Source organism: Homo sapiens, chromosome 7 (genome assembly GCF_000001405.40).
Source record: "Homo sapiens chromosome 7, GRCh38.p14 Primary Assembly".
NCBI classification, from domain to species: Eukaryota; Metazoa; Chordata; class Mammalia; order Primates; family Hominidae; genus Homo; species Homo sapiens.
The window spans coordinates 73192157-73213376 of NC_000007.14; the positions used below are offsets into that span (position 1 = coordinate 73192157).

The 21220-nt window shown below is 46.0% G+C and overlaps 1 pseudogene across 1 annotated transcript in view, besides 5 other annotated features; it reads left to right on the plus strand.

The window, feature by feature from the left end:
• Window positions 1-305: part of a non allelic homologous recombination region, noted in NCBI's record as "sub-region SSN1-SSN3, recombines with sub-region SSN1'-SSN3' within the WBS medial block B recombination region", that runs on past the window's edge. NCBI's record gives the evidence for it as "EXISTENCE:restriction fragment detection evidence [ECO:0001124][PMID:12796854]".
• Window positions 1-15140, plus strand: part of GTF2IP4 (general transcription factor IIi pseudogene 4) — a 52373-nt pseudogene extending 37233 nt beyond the window's left edge. Inside the window, exons 11-24 of the transcript NR_003580.2 lie at window positions 341-399; window positions 795-869; window positions 2470-2571; window positions 3480-3545; window positions 3723-3906; window positions 5808-5863; window positions 6537-6617; window positions 7540-7623; window positions 8293-8476; window positions 9956-9984; window positions 11267-11308; window positions 12407-12448; window positions 13227-13302; window positions 13996-15140. The product of NR_003580.2 is annotated as a general transcription factor IIi pseudogene 4 (transcript). The remainder of the gene's footprint in view (window positions 1-340; window positions 400-794; window positions 870-2469; window positions 2572-3479; window positions 3546-3722; window positions 3907-5807; window positions 5864-6536; window positions 6618-7539; window positions 7624-8292; window positions 8477-9955; window positions 9985-11266; window positions 11309-12406; window positions 12449-13226; window positions 13303-13995) is intronic.
• Window positions 1-21220: part of a biological region, named in NCBI's record as "Williams-Beuren syndrome centromeric block B recombination region", that runs on past both edges of the window. NCBI's record gives its function as "recombination_partner: LOC106029312".
• Window positions 306-21220: part of a non allelic homologous recombination region, noted in NCBI's record as "sub-region SSN3-SSN6, recombines with sub-region SSN3'-SSN6' within the WBS medial block B recombination region", that runs on past the window's edge. NCBI's record gives the evidence for it as "EXISTENCE:restriction fragment detection evidence [ECO:0001124][PMID:12796854]".
• Window positions 17257-17758: an enhancer, noted in NCBI's record as "H3K4me1 hESC enhancer chr7:74598481-74598982 (GRCh37/hg19 assembly coordinates)". NCBI's record gives its function as "activates a minimal SCP1, AML or CMV promoter by ChIP-STARR-seq in naive H9 embryonic stem cells {active_cell/tissue: H9 hESC(naive)}" and the evidence as "EXISTENCE:reporter gene assay evidence [ECO:0000049][PMID:30033119]".
• Window positions 17610-18833: a meiotic recombination region, noted in NCBI's record as "meiotic double-strand break mapped by DNA meiotic recombinase 1 chromatin immunoprecipitation followed by single-stranded DNA enrichment and sequencing in the germ cells of some male individuals with the PRDM9 AC genotype". NCBI's record gives the evidence for it as "EXISTENCE:chromatin immunoprecipitation-seq evidence [ECO:0000229][PMID:25395542]".

Below are 21220 nucleotides of genomic sequence, written 5' to 3' on the forward strand. Positions count from 1 at the left end.
AGAATGCTGGGATTACAGGCATGAGCCACCGTGCACGGCCTAATGATTGATTTTCTTATCTACATTTCTGCAGAATTTTAGTGGCTAAAGAAAGTACACTAGTGTTTTTTTTTTCTTTTTTAATGAAAATAGTCACTTATTTACTCTTCATAAAATGGCTTACCAGTCATGGGAAGGAAAAGTCAGGGTCTTTTGTCCACAACACTAGGAATTATTGTGTTACAGGATGATTCTGTGAATGCCTTTAGAAAAAAAAACCCTGATCACATCACGACCGTTTTACTAGCTGTGAGGCCACCACTGTACTGGCTACTGTAACACTTCTTGGTTTTCTTTCTAGACCTGAACTAGTTATTTCCTACTTGCCTCCTGGGATGGCTAGTAAAATAAACACTAAAGGTAAGAGACTACGTGTACTCCGTATCCTATTTGAGCGCATTAAGACACTCTTTATCCGCATTCCTTAAATCATACGGAATCGGCCAATATCTCTGTGGGGCTTGGAGTTGTTTACTTTGCTTTCTAAGGTATTTTATTTAATGGAACTATTTTTCTTTTTTTTTTTAAAAAAAACAAAACATTTCATTGGAAATGTCACATTTGCAATCCCAGTTCATTCATGTTTTCACAGCTTTGTTGAGCCCCTGTGGAGGATTACACTACAAGTTTAATTCTGCAGGTTTCTTTGAAAAGAACCAAACTGTATGAATTTTAATACTCTGCTCTTATAAAGCATCTCCTTCTGTATTTTTTTTTCCCTACAATATACAAAAGGAACTCTGCTTATTTTACAGCTTTGCAGTCCCCCAAAAGACCACGAAGTCCTGGGAGTAATTCAAAGGTTCCTGAAATTGAGGTCACCGTGGAAGGTAAGGGCCAGTCCTCGGTATGTTTCTGTTCATTCTCTAGTTTACTAATTATGTCAGTTCACTAGCTATGTGTTTATACAGGTTTATACAGATGACGTTAACCAAACTAGCTTTTAACTGTGAACAGCTGCCTGTGATAAAGCTAAATTTCTGAATGCTTCTAATTGAAAATTTTTAAATCCTTAATAGAAAACAGATAACATGGATCACATCATAAACTTCCCCCAAGAAAAGTCCTAAAATGCTTTTCCTTTATCATAACAAATAAGGGTGCAGAGTCATGTGGAATGTTTTATCTTTTTTTTCCTCTTCATTTTTTTCTATTCTTTTAAGGAAAGAAAGTTTAGGGTGGTTTAAACAGCAGTGCCTTGAATAAAAGTATTTTCTTTTTCTTTTTTGAGACAGAGTCTGGCTCTCTTGCCCAGGGTGGAGTGCAGTGGCACAATCTCGGCTCACTGCAGCCTCCGCCTCCCGGGTTCAAGTGATTCTCCTGCCTCAGCCTCCCAGGTAGCTGGGATTACAGGCGTCCACCACCAACTCCAGCTAATTTTTATATCTTTAGTAGAGATGGGGTTTTACCACGTTGGCCAGGCTGGTCTCGAACCCCTGACCTCAAGTGAGCCACCACGCCCAGCTGGTTCTTGTCTTTTCAGGCTCACAGTGTTAAAATACTGCATACAATACTAAAGACAATCTCCAACCAACTGTCAAGTATGGATATTTCTTCCATCTCTTCATAAATGCAGAAGGAAATCACTGCATTAGGATCATTCTCTACATCCCAGGTGTCAAGTTTTTAAATAAGAGTTTGCCGTACTGGTGTTGAGTGGCGCAGAAGTCCCTATTTAGTCATGTGGCACACTTTCAGAGAGCCTGCTTTCTCATAAGATAGCCAACAGGCATCCATGGACAACTTACACCTGATTAATTATTTCTGTTCAAAAATGCCAAGAATTAAAAATATATTGAACCCTTGACTTTCCTCCTTCCGGAAGAGATCAGAGGAAGATCTCTCTTATATACAAGATGCCAGCCTTTCCTAAAGGGCAGAGCCAAGTTCACGGGGCCTGGGAGGCCTGCTTTAAGAATACAAAATTAGGGCCAGGCGTGGAGGCTCACGCCTGTAATCCCAACACTTTGGGAGGCCGAGGCAGGCGGATCACCTGAGGTTGGGAGATCGAGACCAGCCTGACCAACATGGAGAAACCCCATCTCTACTGAAAATACAAAATTATCTGGGCCTGGTGGCGCATGCCTGTAATCCCAGCTACTCAGGAGGCTGAGGCAAGACAATCGCTTGAAACCAGGAGGCAGAGGTTGTGGTGAGCCGAGATTGTGCCATTGCACTCCAGCCTGGGCAACAAGAGCGAAACTTTGTCTCAAAAAAAAAAAAAAAAAAGAAGAAGAAGAAGAGAAGAAAAATGGGTTTCTGTAGAAATAGAAAAATGGTTTCTGTGGAACTCGCCGGAATGACAAGAATACCCATTTCAATTTGAACCTAGCTTTGTTTTCTGGCACAGGCTGGACTTGAAGATTGTAACCTAGAGACACTTACGTCATTAAATGTGTGTTGATTATCATTATTTTTTCTGTCTTTTAGGCCCTAATAACAACAATCCTCAAACCTCAGCTGTTCGAACCCCGACCCAGACTAACGGTTCTAACGTTCCCTTCAAGCCACGAGGGAGAGAGTTTTCCTTTGGTAAGTAAGCGTTTTATTTTTCTTTCTTTCATAGTTTTAAATAGAATACGTTCATTATGTTTCATTTTACCAGGTGAATTGTTCCTATTGGTGAGTCAGTATATATCAAAGGTTAAAGGAATAGCCCGTAGAGCCAGGCTGCCTGAGTTCAGATCTGAGTTCAAATCCGATGCCACTTGGGCAGGCGAATACACCCTGCCTCAGTTTCCCTTTGTGCAAAATGGTAATAACATTACTTTCTTTCTCATGAGGTTATGGTGAGGATTATAAATACTGTCATTTAAAGTACTTAGAACCATACCTCGCATGTAGTAGAGACTATAATTTGTGGGGGCATTTTGGGGGTTTTCATTTGTTTTTTCTTTATTTTAGCATTTGTTCACTTATTTGTAGTCAACATAAAAACAATGTACTAAAACAGTTTGCTTATGTATCAGGATGGGAGTAGTTGTCAAGTCATATCATGGTAAAAGATTATGCATTTTTTATTTCTTCTTAAAGATGCACAAATAAGGCCAGGCGCAGTGGCTCACGCCTGTAATCCCAACACTTTGGGAGGCCGAGGTGGGCGGATCACCTGAGGTTGGGAGTTCGAGACCAGCCTGACCAACATGGAGAAACCCCGTGTCTACCAAAAATACAAAATTAGCCAGGCATGGTGGCGCATGCCTGTAATCCCAGCTACTCAGGAGGCTGAGGCAGGAGAACTGCTTGAACTCAGGAGGTGGAGGTTGCAGTGAGCAGAGATCGCACCATTGCACTCCAGCCTGGGTAACAAGAGCGAAACTCTGTCTCAACAAAAAAAAAATAAGATGCACAAATAAGATGAAACACTCCTGCCTGTGAATGTGTATTGATAAGTACTGTGATAAGTATTGCAATTTAACTCTCTTATGTTTTATATGCAGAGGCCTGGAATGCCAAAATCACGGACCTAAAACAGAAAGTTGAAAATCTCTTCAATGAGAAATGTGGTAAGTCTATTTTGAAACCTTCTTACTGCCACGCAGGGTGCCTTCATGGGAGTAGGAGGGAGCAGAGTGGGATACTGAGCGTTGGAGTATCCCTGTCATTGGCAACGTGTGGGTTTTTCGGGATTGAATGGCGTCATTTCGCCCATGTTCTGTTTCGTGTACGCGGCTGTTTTGCAGGGGAAGCTCTTGGCCTTAAACAAGCTGTGAAGGTGCCGTTCGCGTTATTTGAGTCTTTCCCGGAAGACTTTTATGTGGAAGGCTTACCTGAGGGTGTGCCATTCCGAAGACCATCGACTTTTGGCATTCCGAGGCTGGAGAAGATACTCAGAAACAAAGCCAAAATTAAGTTCATCATTAAAAAGTAAGGAAACTGGATGAAGTGGGATTAGCATGAGTTGATTGTGTTTGACACTGGGAGATGGGTATGTGGGTTTGTGTTTGTGGCAGGGCTGAATTAGCTCTGGAGTCAGAAAAACTGCTTTTTAAGCTGCACTCTTGTATATGTTTAAAACTTCTGGCCAGGTGCGATGGCTCACACCTGTAATCCCAGCACTTTGGGAGGCCAAAGCAGGTGGATTACCTGAGGTCAGAAGTTCAGGACCAACCTGGCCAACATGATGAAACCCATCTCTACTAAAAGTACAAAAATTAGCTGGGCGTGGTGGCACGTGCCTGTAATCCCAGCTACTTGGGAGACTGAGGCAGGAGAATCACTTGAACCCAGCAGGCAGAGGTTGCAATGAGCCAAGATCGTGCCACTGCACTCCAGCCTGGGCAGCAAGAGCAAAACTCCATCTCAAAAACAAAAAAAAAAAAAAAAGAAGAAGAAATTTTCCTTATGCTGCTGGTAGAAGGGAAGGAGGACTCCACCATACTAGAGAGATAACGACTTTTAGTTGCTAAATCTACACAGCTATGTTGTTACTATTTGATGCTGCTGGAATCTGAGCAGCTGTTTAGTTTTTCAAGTCCTTTTATTTCTCCAACTTAATAGAATATTTTCAATTTCTCCTGTTTGCTTGAACATCTGTGGATTAGGCTAACATAATTGAAATAGATAGGAATGGGCCGGGTGCGGCCATAAATCCCAGCACTGTGGGAGGCTAAGGCAGGCAGATCACTTGAGGTCAGGAGTTCGAGACCAGCCTGGCCAACATGGTGAAGCCCCATCTCTACTTAAAATACAAAAAAAAAAAAAAAAAAATAGCCAGGGGTGGTAGCTGGCACCTATAATCTCAGCTACTCAGGGAGGCTGAGACAGGAGAATCACTTGAACCCAGGAGGCGGAGGAGATCGTGCCATTGCACTCCAGCCTGGATGACAGAGTAAGACTCTGTCTCAAAAAAAATTAAAAAAAGAAATAAGAATAATTGGAATTTTATAGTACATGCTAATGCACATGAATTATTTGAAATCAATTGAAATGAATTTTAGGTTTCATTTGCTTGGTGTCAGGCTTAATTTTGAGTCACCCAGGGATGCTCTCAAGCAAAGCTGGCCACTTTTTTTTTTTTTTTTTTTTTTTGAGACAGAATCTCGCTCTGTACCCAAGACTGGAGTGCAGTGGTGTGTGATATCGGCTTACTGCAAATTCCGCCTCCTGGGTTCAAGCGATTCTCCTGCCTCAGCCTCCAAAGTAGCTGGGATTACAGGCATGTGCCACCATGCCCAGCTAATTTTTGTATTTTTAGTAGAGAAGGGGTTTCACCATGTTGGTCAGGCTAGTCTCAAACCCCTGACCTCATGATCCGCCTGCCTCGGCCTCCCAAAGTGCTGGGATTACAGGCGTGAGCCACCGCGCCCGGCCAATGGCCACCTTTTATGCTTTTGGCCAGGTCTGCAGAGGTTTGGCAGCCTCTAAGCCCTCTGCTTCTGCTTCCGGAGTGAGAGCCTCAAGTGCTCCTGTTTTCACAGCCCATCTTGTGTTTCCATGCTGCGTTTGTGGGGCGTTTTCTCTTTCCATCCTCAATTCTGGCGCTGATTCTTTTCAGGATACATTCTAACCTTGGAAAGAAGATGCCAATAAAACCAGTGTAGGGGAAGGGCAGCCAATGAGAGGCAGCAATGGATGTTAAATTTACAATTGTGGTTTGTCTTTTTGGCTGTGGTTCTTTAGATAAGCATGTGATTTCTGTTCTTCATGACTAAGAATTGAATTTAGACTTTACAGAGTTACTGGTTTGTAAATCTTTGAGTTGTTTAAATTTTAATGTTAGAGTTTTACTGTTTGATCAGCACATTTTTTTTCTCTTTTGTCTATAGGCCCGAAATGTTTGAGACGGCGATTAAGGAGAGCACCTCCTCTAAGAGCCCTCCCAGTGAGTGTATTTTCTGTATTTTCATTGCTATAGAACACACGCTCTTAGGCATGCATTGTGCAGCTGTGGTTTACAAACATTGTTTAAAGAATAGCCATTGAGGCCAGGCATGGTGGTTCACGCCTGTAATCCCAGCACTTTGGGAGGCTGAGGTGGGTGGATCACCTGAGGTCAGGAGTTTGAGACCAGCCTGGCCAACACGGCAAAACCCTGTCTCTACTAAAAATATAAAAAATTAGCCAGGCGTGGTGGCAGGCGCCTATAATCCCAGCTACTCAGGAGGCTGAGACAGCAGAATCACTTGAACCCGGGAGGCGGAAGTTGCAGTGAGCCGAGATCGCACCACTGCACTCCAGCCTGGACAACAGAGCAAGACTCATCTCAAAAAGAAAAAAGAAAACCCATTCAAAGTTGTAGTTCAGGCTATTTCACAATTTTTAGTTATTTAATAATTGGGTGGCTCTGTGAGTGTGTGATGATCTCCTAAGTACCCCCAGGAAGAGAAAAACAGTGAAAGGCAGCCCTTCAGGGGGCATCATGTCTTCTTGAAATGATCTACCATGGAAAGAAAGAACCTTGAACAGGACTGAGATAAAACAGTCTCAGACAGCATGATTATTAGAGATGTTGACCGTGTTTTCTACAAATTCTGATTTTAAATGTATATTTTCAGGAAAAATAAATTCATCACCCAATGTTAATACTACTGCATCAGGTGTTGAAGACCTTAACATCATTCAGGTGACAATTCCAGGTATGATTTCTCTGCTTCCATCAGAGTTTTTGGGGGTCTCTTCAGGGCCTCTTGGACTTTCCCAACTAGAGAGGTTTGCTCAGCTCATCCGGGGACTCGGATACATTACACGTTGCCTGGTGCTCCTCCCAGACTCCTACAGCAGTTGCCTTCCAAATACAGTTGCTCTCCAAACAGCAACGGCAAGTTTTGGCACTTGGCATGAGCTAAATCCTGTTAACCACCCAAATGTCTAGTCTGTTCCTTAAAAAAAGTCTATATGAGACCGGGCACGGTGGCTCACGCCTGTAATCCCAGCACTTTGGGAGGCTGAGGCAGGAGGATCGCTTGAGGTCAGGAATTCAAAACCAGCCTAGCCAACGTGGTGAAACCCTGACTCTACTAAACATACAAGAAAAATTAGCCAGGCCTGGTTGTGTGTGGCTGTAATCCCAGCTACTTGGGAGGCTGAGGCAGGAGAAGTGCTTGAACCCGGGAGGTGGAGGTCGCAGTGAGCCGAGATGGGGCCAGTGCACTCCAGCCTTGGTGACAGAGCCATACTCCATCTGGGAAAAAAAAAAAATCTATATAAAACAGCAGGTAAAGGTCTTTATAACAAGAATAAATTTGTAGCATTTTTAGTTAGGCATTATTTTAAACAATTTCAAATTTAATTAGCTCAAAGTGCTCAAATACTTAAATCATTAAAAAATGGAAAATGCTTGAAAACATTACACAGAGCTCCTAAAAATTGGGATTAAAAGTGCATCATTGAGCAGCGGCTTGTACCTGTAGTCTCGGCTACTTGGGAGGCTTAGGCAGGAGGATCGCTTGAGCCCAAGAGTTCAAGGCCAGTCTGGGCAACATCGTGAGATACCATCTCTTTACCATAAAAAAAAAAAAAGTAGTATTTAAGTTTTGGGTTTTCTCTGAACTGTTTCAGATGATGATAATGAAAGACTCTCGAAAGTTGAAAAAGCTAGACAGCTAAGAGAACAAGTGAATGACCTCTTTAGTCGGAAATTTGGTAAGTTTTGCATTTGCAAAGTACAGTTGCTATAAGCAAAGAGATTTGTTTTAATAAGATCTTTTCAGCAGATGATGGTTAGATGGTTGTAATCCTATATAAAAGGAGTTAAAATTTAAAAGTGAGTTGTTTGTGCTAAATTTATTTAATAAGATACCATTAGTGTTACACTATTGATTGTCAGTATGAAAGTTAATGAATTTAAGGTTCACCATCTGGCAGTGTGGCTCACACTTGTAATCCCAGCATTTTGGGAGCCCGAGGCAGGTGGATCAGTTGAGGCCAGGAGTTCGAGACCAGCCTGGCCAACATAGTGAAACCCTGTCTCTACTAAAAAATTCAAAAAATTAGCCGGGTATGGTGGTGCACACCTGTAATCCCAGCTACTCAGGAGGCTGTGGCACGAGAATTGCTTGAACCTGGGAGGCAGAGATTGCAGTGAGCTGAGATCAAGCCACCACACTCCAACCTGGGTGACAGAGCAAGACTCTGTCTCAAAAAAAAAAAAAAATTTAAGGTTCATATTTAAATTTGTTTGAAGTGTACAAAGACCTTAGTTAACAGCAGAGACAGTCTTTAAAATAAATGTTGATCTTGTGCTTTTGACAGGCTGTTTAAGGCGGTGGGTTAATCTGTGCTGTTGTGCTGTTTGTCTCACTGTCCCTGTAGGTGAAGCTATTGGTATGGGTTTTCCTGTGAAAGTTCCCTACAGGAAAATCACAATTAACCCTGGCTGTGTGGTGGTTGATGGCATGCCCCCGGGGGTGTCCTTCAAAGCCCCCAGCTACCTGGAAATCAGCTCCATGAGAAGGATCTTAGACTCTGCCGAGTTTATCAAATTCACGGTCATTAGGTAAGTGAGAGTTTCCTGCTTAGTCACAGGAGCGAATCTGGAGCTCATGAGGCTGACTCTTCTAAAATGCAGCCACAGGTAGTCATCGAATCCGGCTTCCTATGCTGTGCAATCAACAAATCAAAATAACTTGTGTCATCATTAGAATGTCAGATGTGCTTCTACGAACTAAGCTGACTCTTTTAATTCTTTGGCAAAGGGTTGGCAAACTAGGACTGTTTGCCAAATTCAGGCTGCCTCCTATTTTTAGAGTCTTCCTGAAACACAGCTACACCCGTATTATCCATGGCTGCTTTCCTGTCACAGTGAGTAAGTAGCTGGGACTGAGAAGGCATGGCCTCCAAAGTCTAAAATATTTACTCTCTAGCACTTTGTAGAAAAACCTTAGCTAGGCACAGTGGCTAACGCCTGTAATCCCAGCATTTTGGGAGGCCAAGGCAGGCAGATCACCTGAGGTCAGGAGTTCCAGACCAGCCTGGCCAACATGGTGAAATCCCATCTCTACAAAAATAAAACAGTTAGCTGGGCATGATGGCGGGTGCCTGTAATCCCAGCTACTCGGGAGGCTGAGGCAGGATAGTCGCTTGAACCCAGGAGGTGGAGGTTGCAATGAGCCAAGATCATGCCACTGCACTCCAGCCTGGACGACAGAGTGAGACTCCATCACAAGAAAAAAAGAACTTTGTCAACCTCTGTCTTAGGGCGCCTTGTCACAGGCTTCGGGTCAGACGGATTCAACCTCGCATCAGCCATTTGTTAGCCAGGTCACTCTGTTCTTTGTCTGTAAATGAGATTGATCGTTGTTCCCACTGAGAGTGTCAGCTCCTTCCCATAGAGCAGGCATGATGATTGTACTCACCTCTGACACCATTGTGAGTGCCACATTCCTTCCCACGTCCTTGTCACCGTAAGAGATGCCCACCTGAGCACCAACCCCAGGTTATCTTCCCCTTTGTCTTCCAGCCCCCCAGAAACAGCTACGACTCAACCTACCCAATCATTTCATCATCAGATTGCCACTGTCTCTAGTTCAGGTCTCTTGGGACTGGCACTCAGAAATCTCATAATAAATCCTCTTGAGGCTTCTCATACACTCGTCTTCTTCCAATCTTCTTTCCCTCAAAATCTCATATTTTGGTTCCACTTCACCCACGGTCATTCTCCATATCACTCCCAGGAGTTAGGCAAAAAGCCCCTTCCGTTCTTCCGTATGTTAAACTTAGAATCACTCTGTTCCCTGCTCTGCGTTTCTATTTTTTGTTTTTCCTCCATTTACTAGTAGCTTAACACTTTCTAACAGTGTTCTTATTATTGATACGTATCTATCTCTTCCATAAGCTTATAAGGTCATGGATAATACTTCTCATTGTAGTACGTAAATGACGTGGGCTAGATATGAGTTGAATAAACAGTTATACCTGTAAATTCTTACAGAGTGAAAATAAATTGTTATACTTTACAATTTGTTTCTCTCTTTAGACCATTTCCAGGACTTGTGATTAATAACCGTGAGTATTTTGTGAAGTGTTTTGTTTTTGTTTTTTCCTGGGGTCTGACGTGTGTGCGTGTGAGTGTGTATACATGCTTAACGTATATCACGTTACTTCACCTATGTCAGTAACCAGGCCAAATACTTGTTTTAGCCCTCAGTAAAAACACCAGGCACTTCCTAGTTGTAAAATTATTCAAGCTTCTTAACTTCCTATCCTCGATGCACTTAATCATAAAATGGTAATAATAGCACCGATTTTGGGGGAGTCGTTCCAGTAGATGGAAAGCATCTGGAACAGGTGTCAGCAAGCTCCTGCCGACGTGTATGCATAAAGTTTTATTGAAACCACCATCGTGTCCATTTGTTTATGGCAGAACTGAGAGATGGCAGCAGCAAGTGTGTGCCTGCAAAACCTAAAATATTTACTAATTGGCTCTGCAAGAAAAGAGTTTGCATCCCCCTAACCTAGAACAGTGTCTAGCCTCTAGTATGTGTTTAGCCTACAGTATGTGCTCAGCGAATACAATCTATATTTATTACTGCTTTTATGACTGTTATAATTACTGTGCTTGGATTTCGTTACAAAGTAAGTCACAATGTGCCTGCTTCTGTTAGTATTTCAGCACAGTGCCTGGCACACATGGGGCTCTCAAATATTGCTGAGCGAGTGAACAAATGTCCTTTCAATTCCTTAACGTTGATGTCATTTTCAATAGTATTTTGAGCCAAACTTAATTTTGCGAGTGTGTTTTGTTTTCTTAACTTTATTATTAAAAATGTATAAAAGTGAGGCCAGGCGTGGTGGCTCACGCCTGTAATCCCAGCAGTTTGGGAGGCTGAGGCAGGCGGATCAGTTGAGGTTGGGAGTTGGAGACCAGCCCGTCCAACATGGTGAAAGCCTGTCTCTACTAAAAATACAAAAATCAGCTGGGTGTGGTGGCGCGTGCCTGTAATCCCAGCTACTCAGGAGGCTGAGGCAGGAGAGTTGCTTGAATCCTAGAGGTGGAGGTTGCAGTGAGCTGAGATCGTGCCATTGCACTCCAGCCTGGGCAACAAGAGCAAAACTCTGTCCCAATAAATAAATAAATAAAATGTTCTCTTTTGTTCCTGTTCTTGTGCGGTAGTGTGGTATAGAGTTTTATGGTAATTACTGTGAATTAGTGATTCTGAGGGACATATCAGAACTCTGAGGTTTGTTTCCTTCTCATCTTGAGGGAAACAGCAAATGTATGTTAAAATGCTTTTCCAAGGGAACAACACATCCTTACATTATTTAAACCAATCTGCTTCATTTTCAGAGCTGGTTGATCAGAGTGAGTCAAAAGGCCCCGTGATACAAGGTGAGCGAGGCAGGGGAGGGCCCGGAGCTACTCCTGCCTGCACAGTGGCACACATGGCGTGCCTGCGTGTGGCTTTGGCTCTCAGTCACCTGCCCTGAGGGGACTCAGTTACACAGCACACACATGCTTCTCTGTGGTTTTCACTCCTGGGTTTGACAGCTGATCAAAACATAAATTCAAGCTGTGGGTCCTGATTGAGAACTGGGGGCTGCAGACCATTTGCACCCCCTATCCCAGCTCAGGCCTAACATCAGGAACCCCAGGATTAATGGGTAGGATGAAATGGCAGAGCAAGAGGGCCGTCACTTTAACCTGACTCTGCCATCCATTTCTAATGTCTGCCATAAGTCAGTGAGCAAAATGTTCTTCAGTAGAAATGTACAGATTGTGCTCTTAAAAAATTCCTTAAAAAACAAGTGGAATGGCCTGGTGCTGTGTGAGTCATTGAAAGTAATGAGACTGGGCGCGGTGGCTCACGCCTGTTATCCCAGCACTTTGGAAGGCTGAGAAGGGTAGATCACTTGAGATCAGGAGTTCGAGACCAGCCTGGCCAACATGGTGCAACCCCGTCTCTACTAAGAATACAAAAACTAGCCAGACGTGGTGGCGTGTGCCGGCTACTCAGGAGGCTGAGGCAGGAGAACCGCTTGAGCCTGGGAGGCGGAGGTCGCAGTGAGCCAAGATCGTGCCACTGCACTCCAGCCTGGGCAACAGAAAGGAGATTCTGTCTCAAAAAAACAAACATACGAAGAAAAACAAAAAAAGTAATGAAAAGCTTTTATTAAAGGGAGTAAACAGAAGGATAAGGGAGAAAGCATAACTAAGGAGCTTGTTTTCATGGTAGAGCTATGTTAAGACTCTGCTCTTTCAAACTTCAGTTGTATATGTGAACTTAGGACCACATTTGAAAAACAGAAATTTGAAAGTACACTTGGATAATCGTGTGCTCCATCTCAAGACCGTGAGCATTGTTTCATCATGCACCTGTGTTTGTACAGAGTCTAGAGGGCTTTTCTCCTCTTCCTCCTCCTGGGTTCTTTACATAGTATAAAGCAGCTGTTGAACAATGTGGAAATCAGTCTCTGTGTTTCTCTTTAGAATCAGCTGAACCAAGCCAGTTGGAAGTTCCAGCCACAGAAGGTAAAAGGGTGGGGTGGTCCTGCAAGTCCTTAAGACTTCTTCTTTCTTCTTCTTCTTTTTTTTTTTTTTAAAGACAGAGACTTGCTCTGTCACCCAGGGTGGAGTGAGGTTGCGCGATCTCTGCAACCTCCGCCTCCCGGGCTCAAGCAGTTCTCCTGCCTCAGCCTCCCGAGTAGCTGGGATTACAGGCCTGCACCACCATGCTTGGCTAATTTTTGTATTTTTAGTAGAAACGGGGTTTCACCATGTTGGCCAGGCTAGTCTCAGACTTCTGACCTCAAGTGATCTGCCAGCCTTGGCCTCCAAAGTGCTCGGATTACAGGCGCGAGCCACCTTGCCCAGCCAAGACTTTTTTATCAGGACAAAGGATTGTGCATTTAAACTATTTCACTAGAACTGGGTGGTGGTTTTGCTCTCTTTCTTCTGGGTGAATTGGATTTGCAGGTTATGCTGTTGAGTGATGACGCATAGCTGCTTTTGCTCCATTTTCCCCAGATGACTTGGTAAATTCTCCGTGAATGACTCTGCTACATAACCTAGATAACCTAAGTGTGTCCTTTAAATGCATGTAAGCCAGAAGATGTATGTTACTTTGAAAACATAAGTAACAAAATTTTGAATGTATTGCTAAAGAGATGTCTCTCTGAAGCTCTTTTGATGTTTGGTGTCTTGTCCTTCTTATTAAACCATATCTTAGTAAATAGTTTGGTACGAATGGATTTATCACTGAGCAGGTCTGCAAAATAATTAATCGGTACCGTTTTGTTTCTGTTGATAGAAATAAAAGAGACTGATGGAAGCTCTCAGATCAAGCAAGAACCAGACCCCACGTGGTAGACCTCTTCCCTCCTAGGGTAAATCAGCTTCTGTGTCAGGGATGCTGTGTGGCGTCCATCTGAACCCCCTGCATACGCGTAGCTAATGTGATCTCCCCACTTTCACATAAGATGGTGGCCCTGCCTTCAGGGAATGTGGGAGCCAGGTGGGAGCCTTCCCGGATATTTAAGCTAGAAGATTCTACAGGGAGATTCTCCTTGGATCAATATATGTCTCTCAGTCAAAGATGTAAAAGCACTTTTGCCTTAAAAAGAATGTTCTGTTTCTAAATAGAGTCAACGTTGTCCTCCTCATTGGAATTCACTATGAGTCAGAATCATTAGACTGACTTTTTTTTTTCCATAGTAATAGTATTTTGCAGAGTCTCACAGAGCTGCAGATCTTTTGTTCATCTTGCAGAGTTAACAAGTCTGATCCTGTTAGTCCAGATTTCTTAAATTTGGCCAAGTTATAATAGGAGCAGTAGCTTGAGACCCGAAGTCAGGAAACTTTGACAATGGATTTTTTTTTTTTAATCCAGAGACTTGTACTGGAATTTGCCTTACCCTGTCAGCTCATGGACTTAAGGTTTCATCCCGCTTTATGAGTGCTTCTGAATCCAAGTCATTGTTACCTGAATTTGCAAATTAAGTTGTGATATTCGTGACTGTTAAATTCCTGTAATTAGATTAACCTCTTTGCTTGCTTGTTTGTTTTCTCTCCTATTTTAGCTTAAAGTATCAGTGGTTGAGAAGAGCTTTTCGGACCTGTTACTACCCCAAGCTGTGTAATATACTTGTATAACAGAAATACCTTCTATACAAACCTTTTTTTCTACTTTTAGATAGAAATGTCTACTTTTTCAGCAGTTCTGTGAATTAAAGAGCAGAGTGACTGTGGGTCTGGAATGGCTGGTGTACTTGGGAATGTACTATCAGGATTTTACAGCAATGCTGGGAAATGACAGGGAAAATGACAGGAATGAATCTCACCAGATTTTTTATGTACTCAGCAGAGCCTTGAGTTACGGTGTTTATTTTCCAATCAAGTGAAGATATCTCCTACTTCTCCTACTGGAACATCTCAGCTTCTGCAGTGAAGAAAAATTCCTGTGATAGTTCAGTTCTTTAGTTTTTCTATTTGAAAAAAAAAAATCATTTAAATGATCCTTTGTTCACGGCTCTCCTTAATGACTGAGTGAACAGTTCCTATCTGTATATTTGACTAAACCTTTTCCTAAGCTATCTCTCATGGTTCCTATGTTTTTTTATCATAATTAAAAGCAAAACCATCTGGATCACCTAACAGTCAGAGGTCAGTATCTCAGCGTGTGAATTATAGAGGAAATACAGAGAGAACCTCTTCCACTTTTACTTTTCGTCCAAATAAAATGCATGGTGTACCAGAAGTTGAAGATCGGGTTGAGGATTGGGGCTAGCTCGATGACACTAAGGCCCCAACATCGCGGGACCTGCTGTGGCGCGGATTCTTAGGAACGCTGTTCTAGCCGGCCCCCTCTCCAGGGGTCGCCGTGGCCGGCATTATTTCCTAGTTCTTCTTGTAACCCTGAGGTGCCAGCGCGGGGAGTGAGGAGGGGTCAGGGGGCTAAGGATGCAACCTCTGACGTTCTGCGCCTTCCTAGGAGAGTCTTACATGTGTTGAGATTTCACAAGCAATGCGAGTTGTAAAATACCAGCTCTACAAGAAGCTAGGCTCTGTGACGGCATAGTTTTCAGTAGCTTTATCACAATATTCACAATGGAGAATTATATGACATGGTAGCAGAAATAGGCCCTTTTATGTGTTGCTTCTATTTTACCTCAAATTGTAGATATAGGGTAATCAATAAAATCCATCCATGCCTTTCACACACTAAGTCATTGCTCTCTCGGCTGTTTTCATGGTCCTGTCTGGGGAAGCTTGGGGGTGGCTCGGCGTAGGTGGGACGCAGACCAAGGCCGAGGCTGGCGCTGGGCAGAGCCCGCCGGGCCTCCCGGGGACAGCGCCACTTGCGGTGTTTCTCAGACCGCTGCTGCCCATCTCCTCTGAGCGGGCCAGGGCCCCCACCCTTCCATCTGGGCCATGCCAGCTGTGTATGGAGAGCCGCTCACATACGACATTGGGTGCCAAAAGCCCCTGCCATCGAGAGCTCATGCAGCAGTCCCTCCTGCCTGAGCCCACACACTGACTCTGAGGCTCTTCTGTTCTCAGCGTGGTCCCTGCCTCTGCCGTGCCCTATCCGCGTGTGCCAGAAAGGGAAACTGATCTCACGATTCACCTGCCTGCTAACCTGGGAGGAGACTGCTTCTCTGATAGCATCTCACAGTTCTTTTAACATGTTCTTAAAATGTGTCCTGCCGCGCCACCCTCAGCCACACCTCCCAGCACCCATCCTGGAGAATCAGGGCCATGGCAAGGCTGCCGTTGGCAAAAGCCCAGCTCTGCCATGAATCTCCGTTCAGTTACTGGTTTCACACTCATTTGTGAGGTCACAGACTTGCCAAGGATATTCATGATTCAATCCATTACAACAATTCTGTGTGTACATAACACATTTTTTCCTTTCTTTTTTTTTTTTTTTTCCTGAGACAGTCTTGCTCTGTTGCCCAGGCTAGAGCACAGTGGTGCAGTCTCAGCTCACTGCATCCTCCACCTCACAGGTTCAAGCAATTCTCCTGCCTCAGCCTCCCGAGTAGCTGGGATTGCAGGCACCCACCAACACACCTGACTAATTTTTGTATTTTTAGTAGAGACGGGGTTTCAGCATGTTGGCCAGGCTGGTCTCAAAATCCTGGCCTCAGGTATATACACATATTTTTACACACACACACACACACACACACACACACACACATAAAGGATTTAAGCCAGGTGCTGTGGTGTACAACTGTAGTCCCAGCTACTAGGGAGGCTGAGGTGGGAGGATCACTTGAGCCACTGCAGTGATTACACCACTGCACTCCAGACTGGGTGACAGTGAGACCCTGTCTCTTAAAAGAAAAAAGAAGAGGCCTTAGCTGCCTGCATTAATTAATGAACAGGCAGTGTATTTCTGTTCTTTTTTTTTTTTTTTTGAAGACGGAGTCTCACTCTGTTGCCCAGGCTGGAGTGCAGTGGTGCAATCTTGGCTCACTGTAACCTCCGCCTCCTGAGTTCGAGATTCTCCTGTCTCAGCCACCCCAGTAACTGTGATTATGGCCACCTGCCACCATGCCCGGCTAATTTTTGTATTTTTAGTAGAGACGGGGTTTCCCCATGTCGGCCAAGCTGGTCTCGAACTCCCAACCTCAAGTGATCCACCTGCCTCGGCCTCCCAAAGTGCTGGGATGACAGGTGTGAGCCACCAAACCCAGCCTCAGGCAGTGCATTTCTAAAAGGCAGATAGTGTGATTGTTCAGAGGGTGAAGGGGAAGTTAAACTTGTCCAGTAAAATCTTCGTTAGCCCGGTATTCTGGATTGAAAAAGCAAAATATAGTTCAAGTAGGTCTCTTCAGTGTATCTAATAAGCTCTTGTTTCTGAAACAACTGATTCCTTGGCCGGGCGCGGTGGCTCACGCCTGTAATTCCAGCACTTTGGGAGGCCAAGGAGGGCAGATCACTTGAGGTCGGGAGCTCAAGACCAGCCTGGTCAACATGGTGAAACCTCGTCTCTAGTGAAAATACAAAAATTAGCCGACTGTGGTAGTGCACACCTGTAATCCCAGCTACTCGGGAGGCTGAGGTAGGAGAGAATTGCTTGAACCTGGGAGGCGGAGGCTGCAGTGAGCCAAGATCACACCACTGCACTACAGCCTGCGTGACAGAGTGAAACTCTGTCTCAAAAAAACAAAAACCTCCTGATTTTTTTTTTTTTTTTTTTTTTTGAGATGGAGTCTGGCTCTGTCGCCCAGGCTGGAGCGCAATGGTGCGATCTCGGCTCACTGCAACCTCTGCCTTCTGGATTCAAACGATTCTCCTGCCTCAGCCTCCAGAGTATCTGGAACTACAGGTGCCTGCCACCACGCCCAGCTAATTTTTTGTATTTTTAGTAGAGATGGGGTTTCACCATGTTAGCCTGGATGGTCTCGATCTCCTGACCTCGTGATTTGCCCACCTCGGCCTCCGAAAGTGTTGGGATTACAGGCATGAGCCGCCACACCCGGCCGCCTCCTGATTTCATAATAATTCAAGGGACAAACATAATTACTTCCCAGGTAAGGCAGTAGAGTGACTAAGAACAAATCCACTTCTGGACAGCCATTATATAGGGGACATTTTTATCAGAAAAACAGTAAAAGCAAGGAAATGTCTCCCTCCCAGGACTGTATGAATTAAACCCTGCCTGCTGATTGCCAAGTGACAACTCCCATTCCAAGCCCCTGGTCCTCAGTGGGGAGGAAACCAAAGCTTTGTCCCTGGAGGGAGGTCCTGCGGGAATGGCCAGGGACGCATCCGCTCTCAAATGCTAGAGCTGGCAGTTGTCATCTGCTCGTGAGAAGGTTTCGCCTTTGCCTGTCCCCACCCCCGTCCCTCCCAGGCCATCAGCGCACATCAGAGTTAGCACATTACATGATGCCTTAATCTTCTAATTGGTTTAAGTCAGCTGACATGTAAAGTGAGGTCTGGGAGACTGTTCTGGAACTGTATAGATGAGGACGTTGTTGCCCCAGTCTTATTCAGAAGCTTGAGGATGCAACTTGGACCTGGGTCTGTGGTCCCCTAGGACCTGAAACTCATATAGAGCCAGCCGCCAGTTCCATTTTGAAGTAGGTTGGTCTCTCTCTCTATTTTTTGAGACAGAGTTTCGCTCTTGTTGCCCAGGCTGGAGTGCAATGGCACGATCTCAGCTCACCGCAACCTCCACCTCCCAGTTCAAGCGATTCTCCTGCTTCAGCCTCCCGAGTAGCTGGGATTACAGGCATGTGCCACCACACCTGGCTAGTTTTGTATTTTTAGTAGAGATGGGGTTTCTCCATGTTGGTCAGGCTGGTCTGGAACTCCTGACCTCAAGCAATCCGCCCGCCCCAGCCTCCCAAAGTGCTGGGATAACAGGCATGAGCCCCTGTGCCTGGCTGTAGTTTGGTTTTTCTGAGCCTCCTCCTGGTTCCCATTTCTGTTTTTTTGTTTTTGTTTTTGTTTTTTCTCCAAAGACCAAAAGTTCCACCAGAGAGGAAGATCGAGGGACCAGGCCTTTCTAGTTTCCACATTACACTCTAAGTGCTGGTCTTAGTAAATTCAAGGCACCTGGTGGGCTTGACCATTCGGGGGCAGATAATTGTTACACACCAAAGGGGCATCTTTTGGAAAGTCACTGCCCAGTAACCACTTCCATCTTCTGGAAGGTCGCTGCTCATCTTCCTAAATGGAAGCCCCAGTTTCTGGACTTGGATGTGTTTTGAGGATCTGATGTTCTCCCAAAGTGCCTCAGTTTCCCTATGATGGGGAAAGAGGAAGGGGACGGATTTTAGGAATGGAGGTGACCTGGAGGCCGCTGTCCCTGTCCTTAGACCTGCGAGTCCAGGGGGATGACCGCAAACAGGGCTGTGGGGCCTTTCTTTACTCTCAAAAGCATCACTTCCCCTGCCTGGAGTTCAGATCCTGCCTGGATCCACGGTGGGAAGGGAGCCCTGGCTCTCTGTACTTCACCCACGGCTGCCCACTCACCTGGCTCACAGGGCAGACTGGATGCAGCTTTCAGCCAGTTGTAGAAATCACAGGTCCCTGGCCGGGAACGGTGACTCAGGCCTGTAATCCCAGCACTTTGGGAGGCCGAGGCGGGCGGATCATGAGGTCAGGAGATCGAGACCATCCTGGCTAGCACGGTGAAACCCCGTCTCTACTAAAAATACAAAAAATTAGCCGGGCATGGTGCTGGGCGCCTATAGTCCCAGCTACTCGGGAGGCTGAGGCAGAATGGCGTGAACCTGGGAGGCCAAGCTGGCAGTGAGCCGAGATCGCACCACTGCACTCTAGCCTGGGTGACAGAGCGAGACTCCGTCTCAAAAAAAAGAAATCACAGGTCCCTAGGGTCCTAGTGGCCCATCGGTGACAAAGGGCAGGTGGACCTGGTGTGGCTGCACCAGAGGGGCCTTCTCATCCTGGGAACTGGGCTAAAAACCAAGCCCAGACTGAGGCCCATGCTTTTGTCCCCCCAGCCGCCTCGAGGTCCCTCCTTACCTGCCCCCTGCACCCCTACCCCATCTTAACTCTTTTTTTTTTTTCCAAGATGGAGTCTCGCTCTGTGGCCCAGGCTGGAGTGCAGTGGTGCAATCTCTGCCCCCTGCAACCTCTGCCTACCAGGTTCAAGCTATTCTCCTGCCTCAGCCTCCCGAGTAGCTGGGATTACAGGTGTCCACCACCACACCCAGCTAATTTTTGTATTTTTAGTAGAGACGGGTTTCCCCATGTTGGCCAGGTTGGTCTCGAACTCCTGACCTCAAGTGATCCACCTGCCTTGGCCTCCCAGAGTTCTGGGATTACAGGCGTGCGTGAGCCACTGCGCCTGGCACCGCACCTTAATTTTGAGGAAGTGTTGGGAAAGCTGGCTCTGACATCTCTTGTGAGGCAAGCCCAGCTGGGGAAGGTGTTTCCTGCCTGACTTCCTCCCCAGAAGCAATAGCAGGGCTTGCTGTGGCATCCGCTTCCTGCGGGGGCTCAAGGTTGCTCGTTCCTCAGGCTACATAAAGCAGTAAGGACCCACCCAGGAGGACCCCTCCAGAGGTGTGAGGGCGATTTGGTGGACACAGGTAGGGCCAGCGACAGAGCAGAGGGCACACCTCCCAGAGCCCCAAATGCCACAGGCTGAGAAGGTCTAGCTCTAGCTGCATCCAAAGGACCTGTTGAACTCCTGTCCCGATTGACACTAAAACTGTCCCCTCCTGTATGGTGCCCACACCCTTCAGGGGAAACCCCTGGATAAACAGCAGTCACTGCAGGTCTCCAAAAAGACAAGGCCGGAACAGGGAACCTGGGGTGCATGTTCAGGAAGCTGTGGCAAGTGTTGACACCACAGCCCCAAGTTTCTTTTTCTGGCCCGCGGAAGATGAGCTTCAGTCCCATGGAGGTGACAAGGTTGTCCTCCTGCATGATGGGGCTCTGCGGTGCCTCTGCGCCTGGGTAACCCCTCACCGAGAAAGCCACGTCTACAGGTCCCACCTGTCTGCAGGTGTGCCGCCCCCAACTCCAGGCCTGTGTGACTTAGCGACTGTCCCAGATCTCTCCTGGGAAGTGGCACAGGGGCCTGGCCCTCAGTGAGTCCCAGAGGGACCGCACCACCACTGACTTCACTGTGCTGCTTGGAGCTGGGGAGATGTGGAAACGGCCACTCCAGACCCAGTGACTGGCTGGTGCTTAGGATGTGATTTCCTCATTACTGAAATTTGTTTCAAGTGTACAGAAATCACCATCGGCCACGTGCAGTGGCTCACGCCTATAATCCCAGCACTTTGGGAGGCCGAGGCGGGCGGATCACCTGAGGTCAGGAGTTCGAGACCAGCCTGGCCAATATGGAGAAATCCTGTCTGTACTAAAAATACAAAAATTAGCCGGGTGTGGTAGCGGAAACCTGTAATCCCAGCTACTCAGGAGGCTGAGGCAGGAGAATTGCTTGAACCCAGGAGGTTGGAGGTTGCAGTGAGCCGAGACTGCGCCATTGCACTGCAGCCTGGGCAACGGAGTGAGACTTTGCCTCAAAAAAAAAAAAAAAAAAAATTTCACCAAAGCCCCTGGGGGTGGTGGTGCACTGCGGAGTTTATAGCCTTCCTGGGTGGCAGAGGGCAACTGGGCCCCTGAGCACAGAAGTGGGGCTCCCGCGGGGGGTGGGGCTGGCTTGGAAGGTCCCCATTCCTGTGGTGCATATTTGATGAGGGCCCATGTCGTGCCTGGAGCTGGGCCAGAAGCCACAGTGCAGTGCAGTGGGGACAGACCCAGCCTGTCCATGGGCTTGGTTACTGTCAGCCTGGCCGTGTCAGGGAAGGC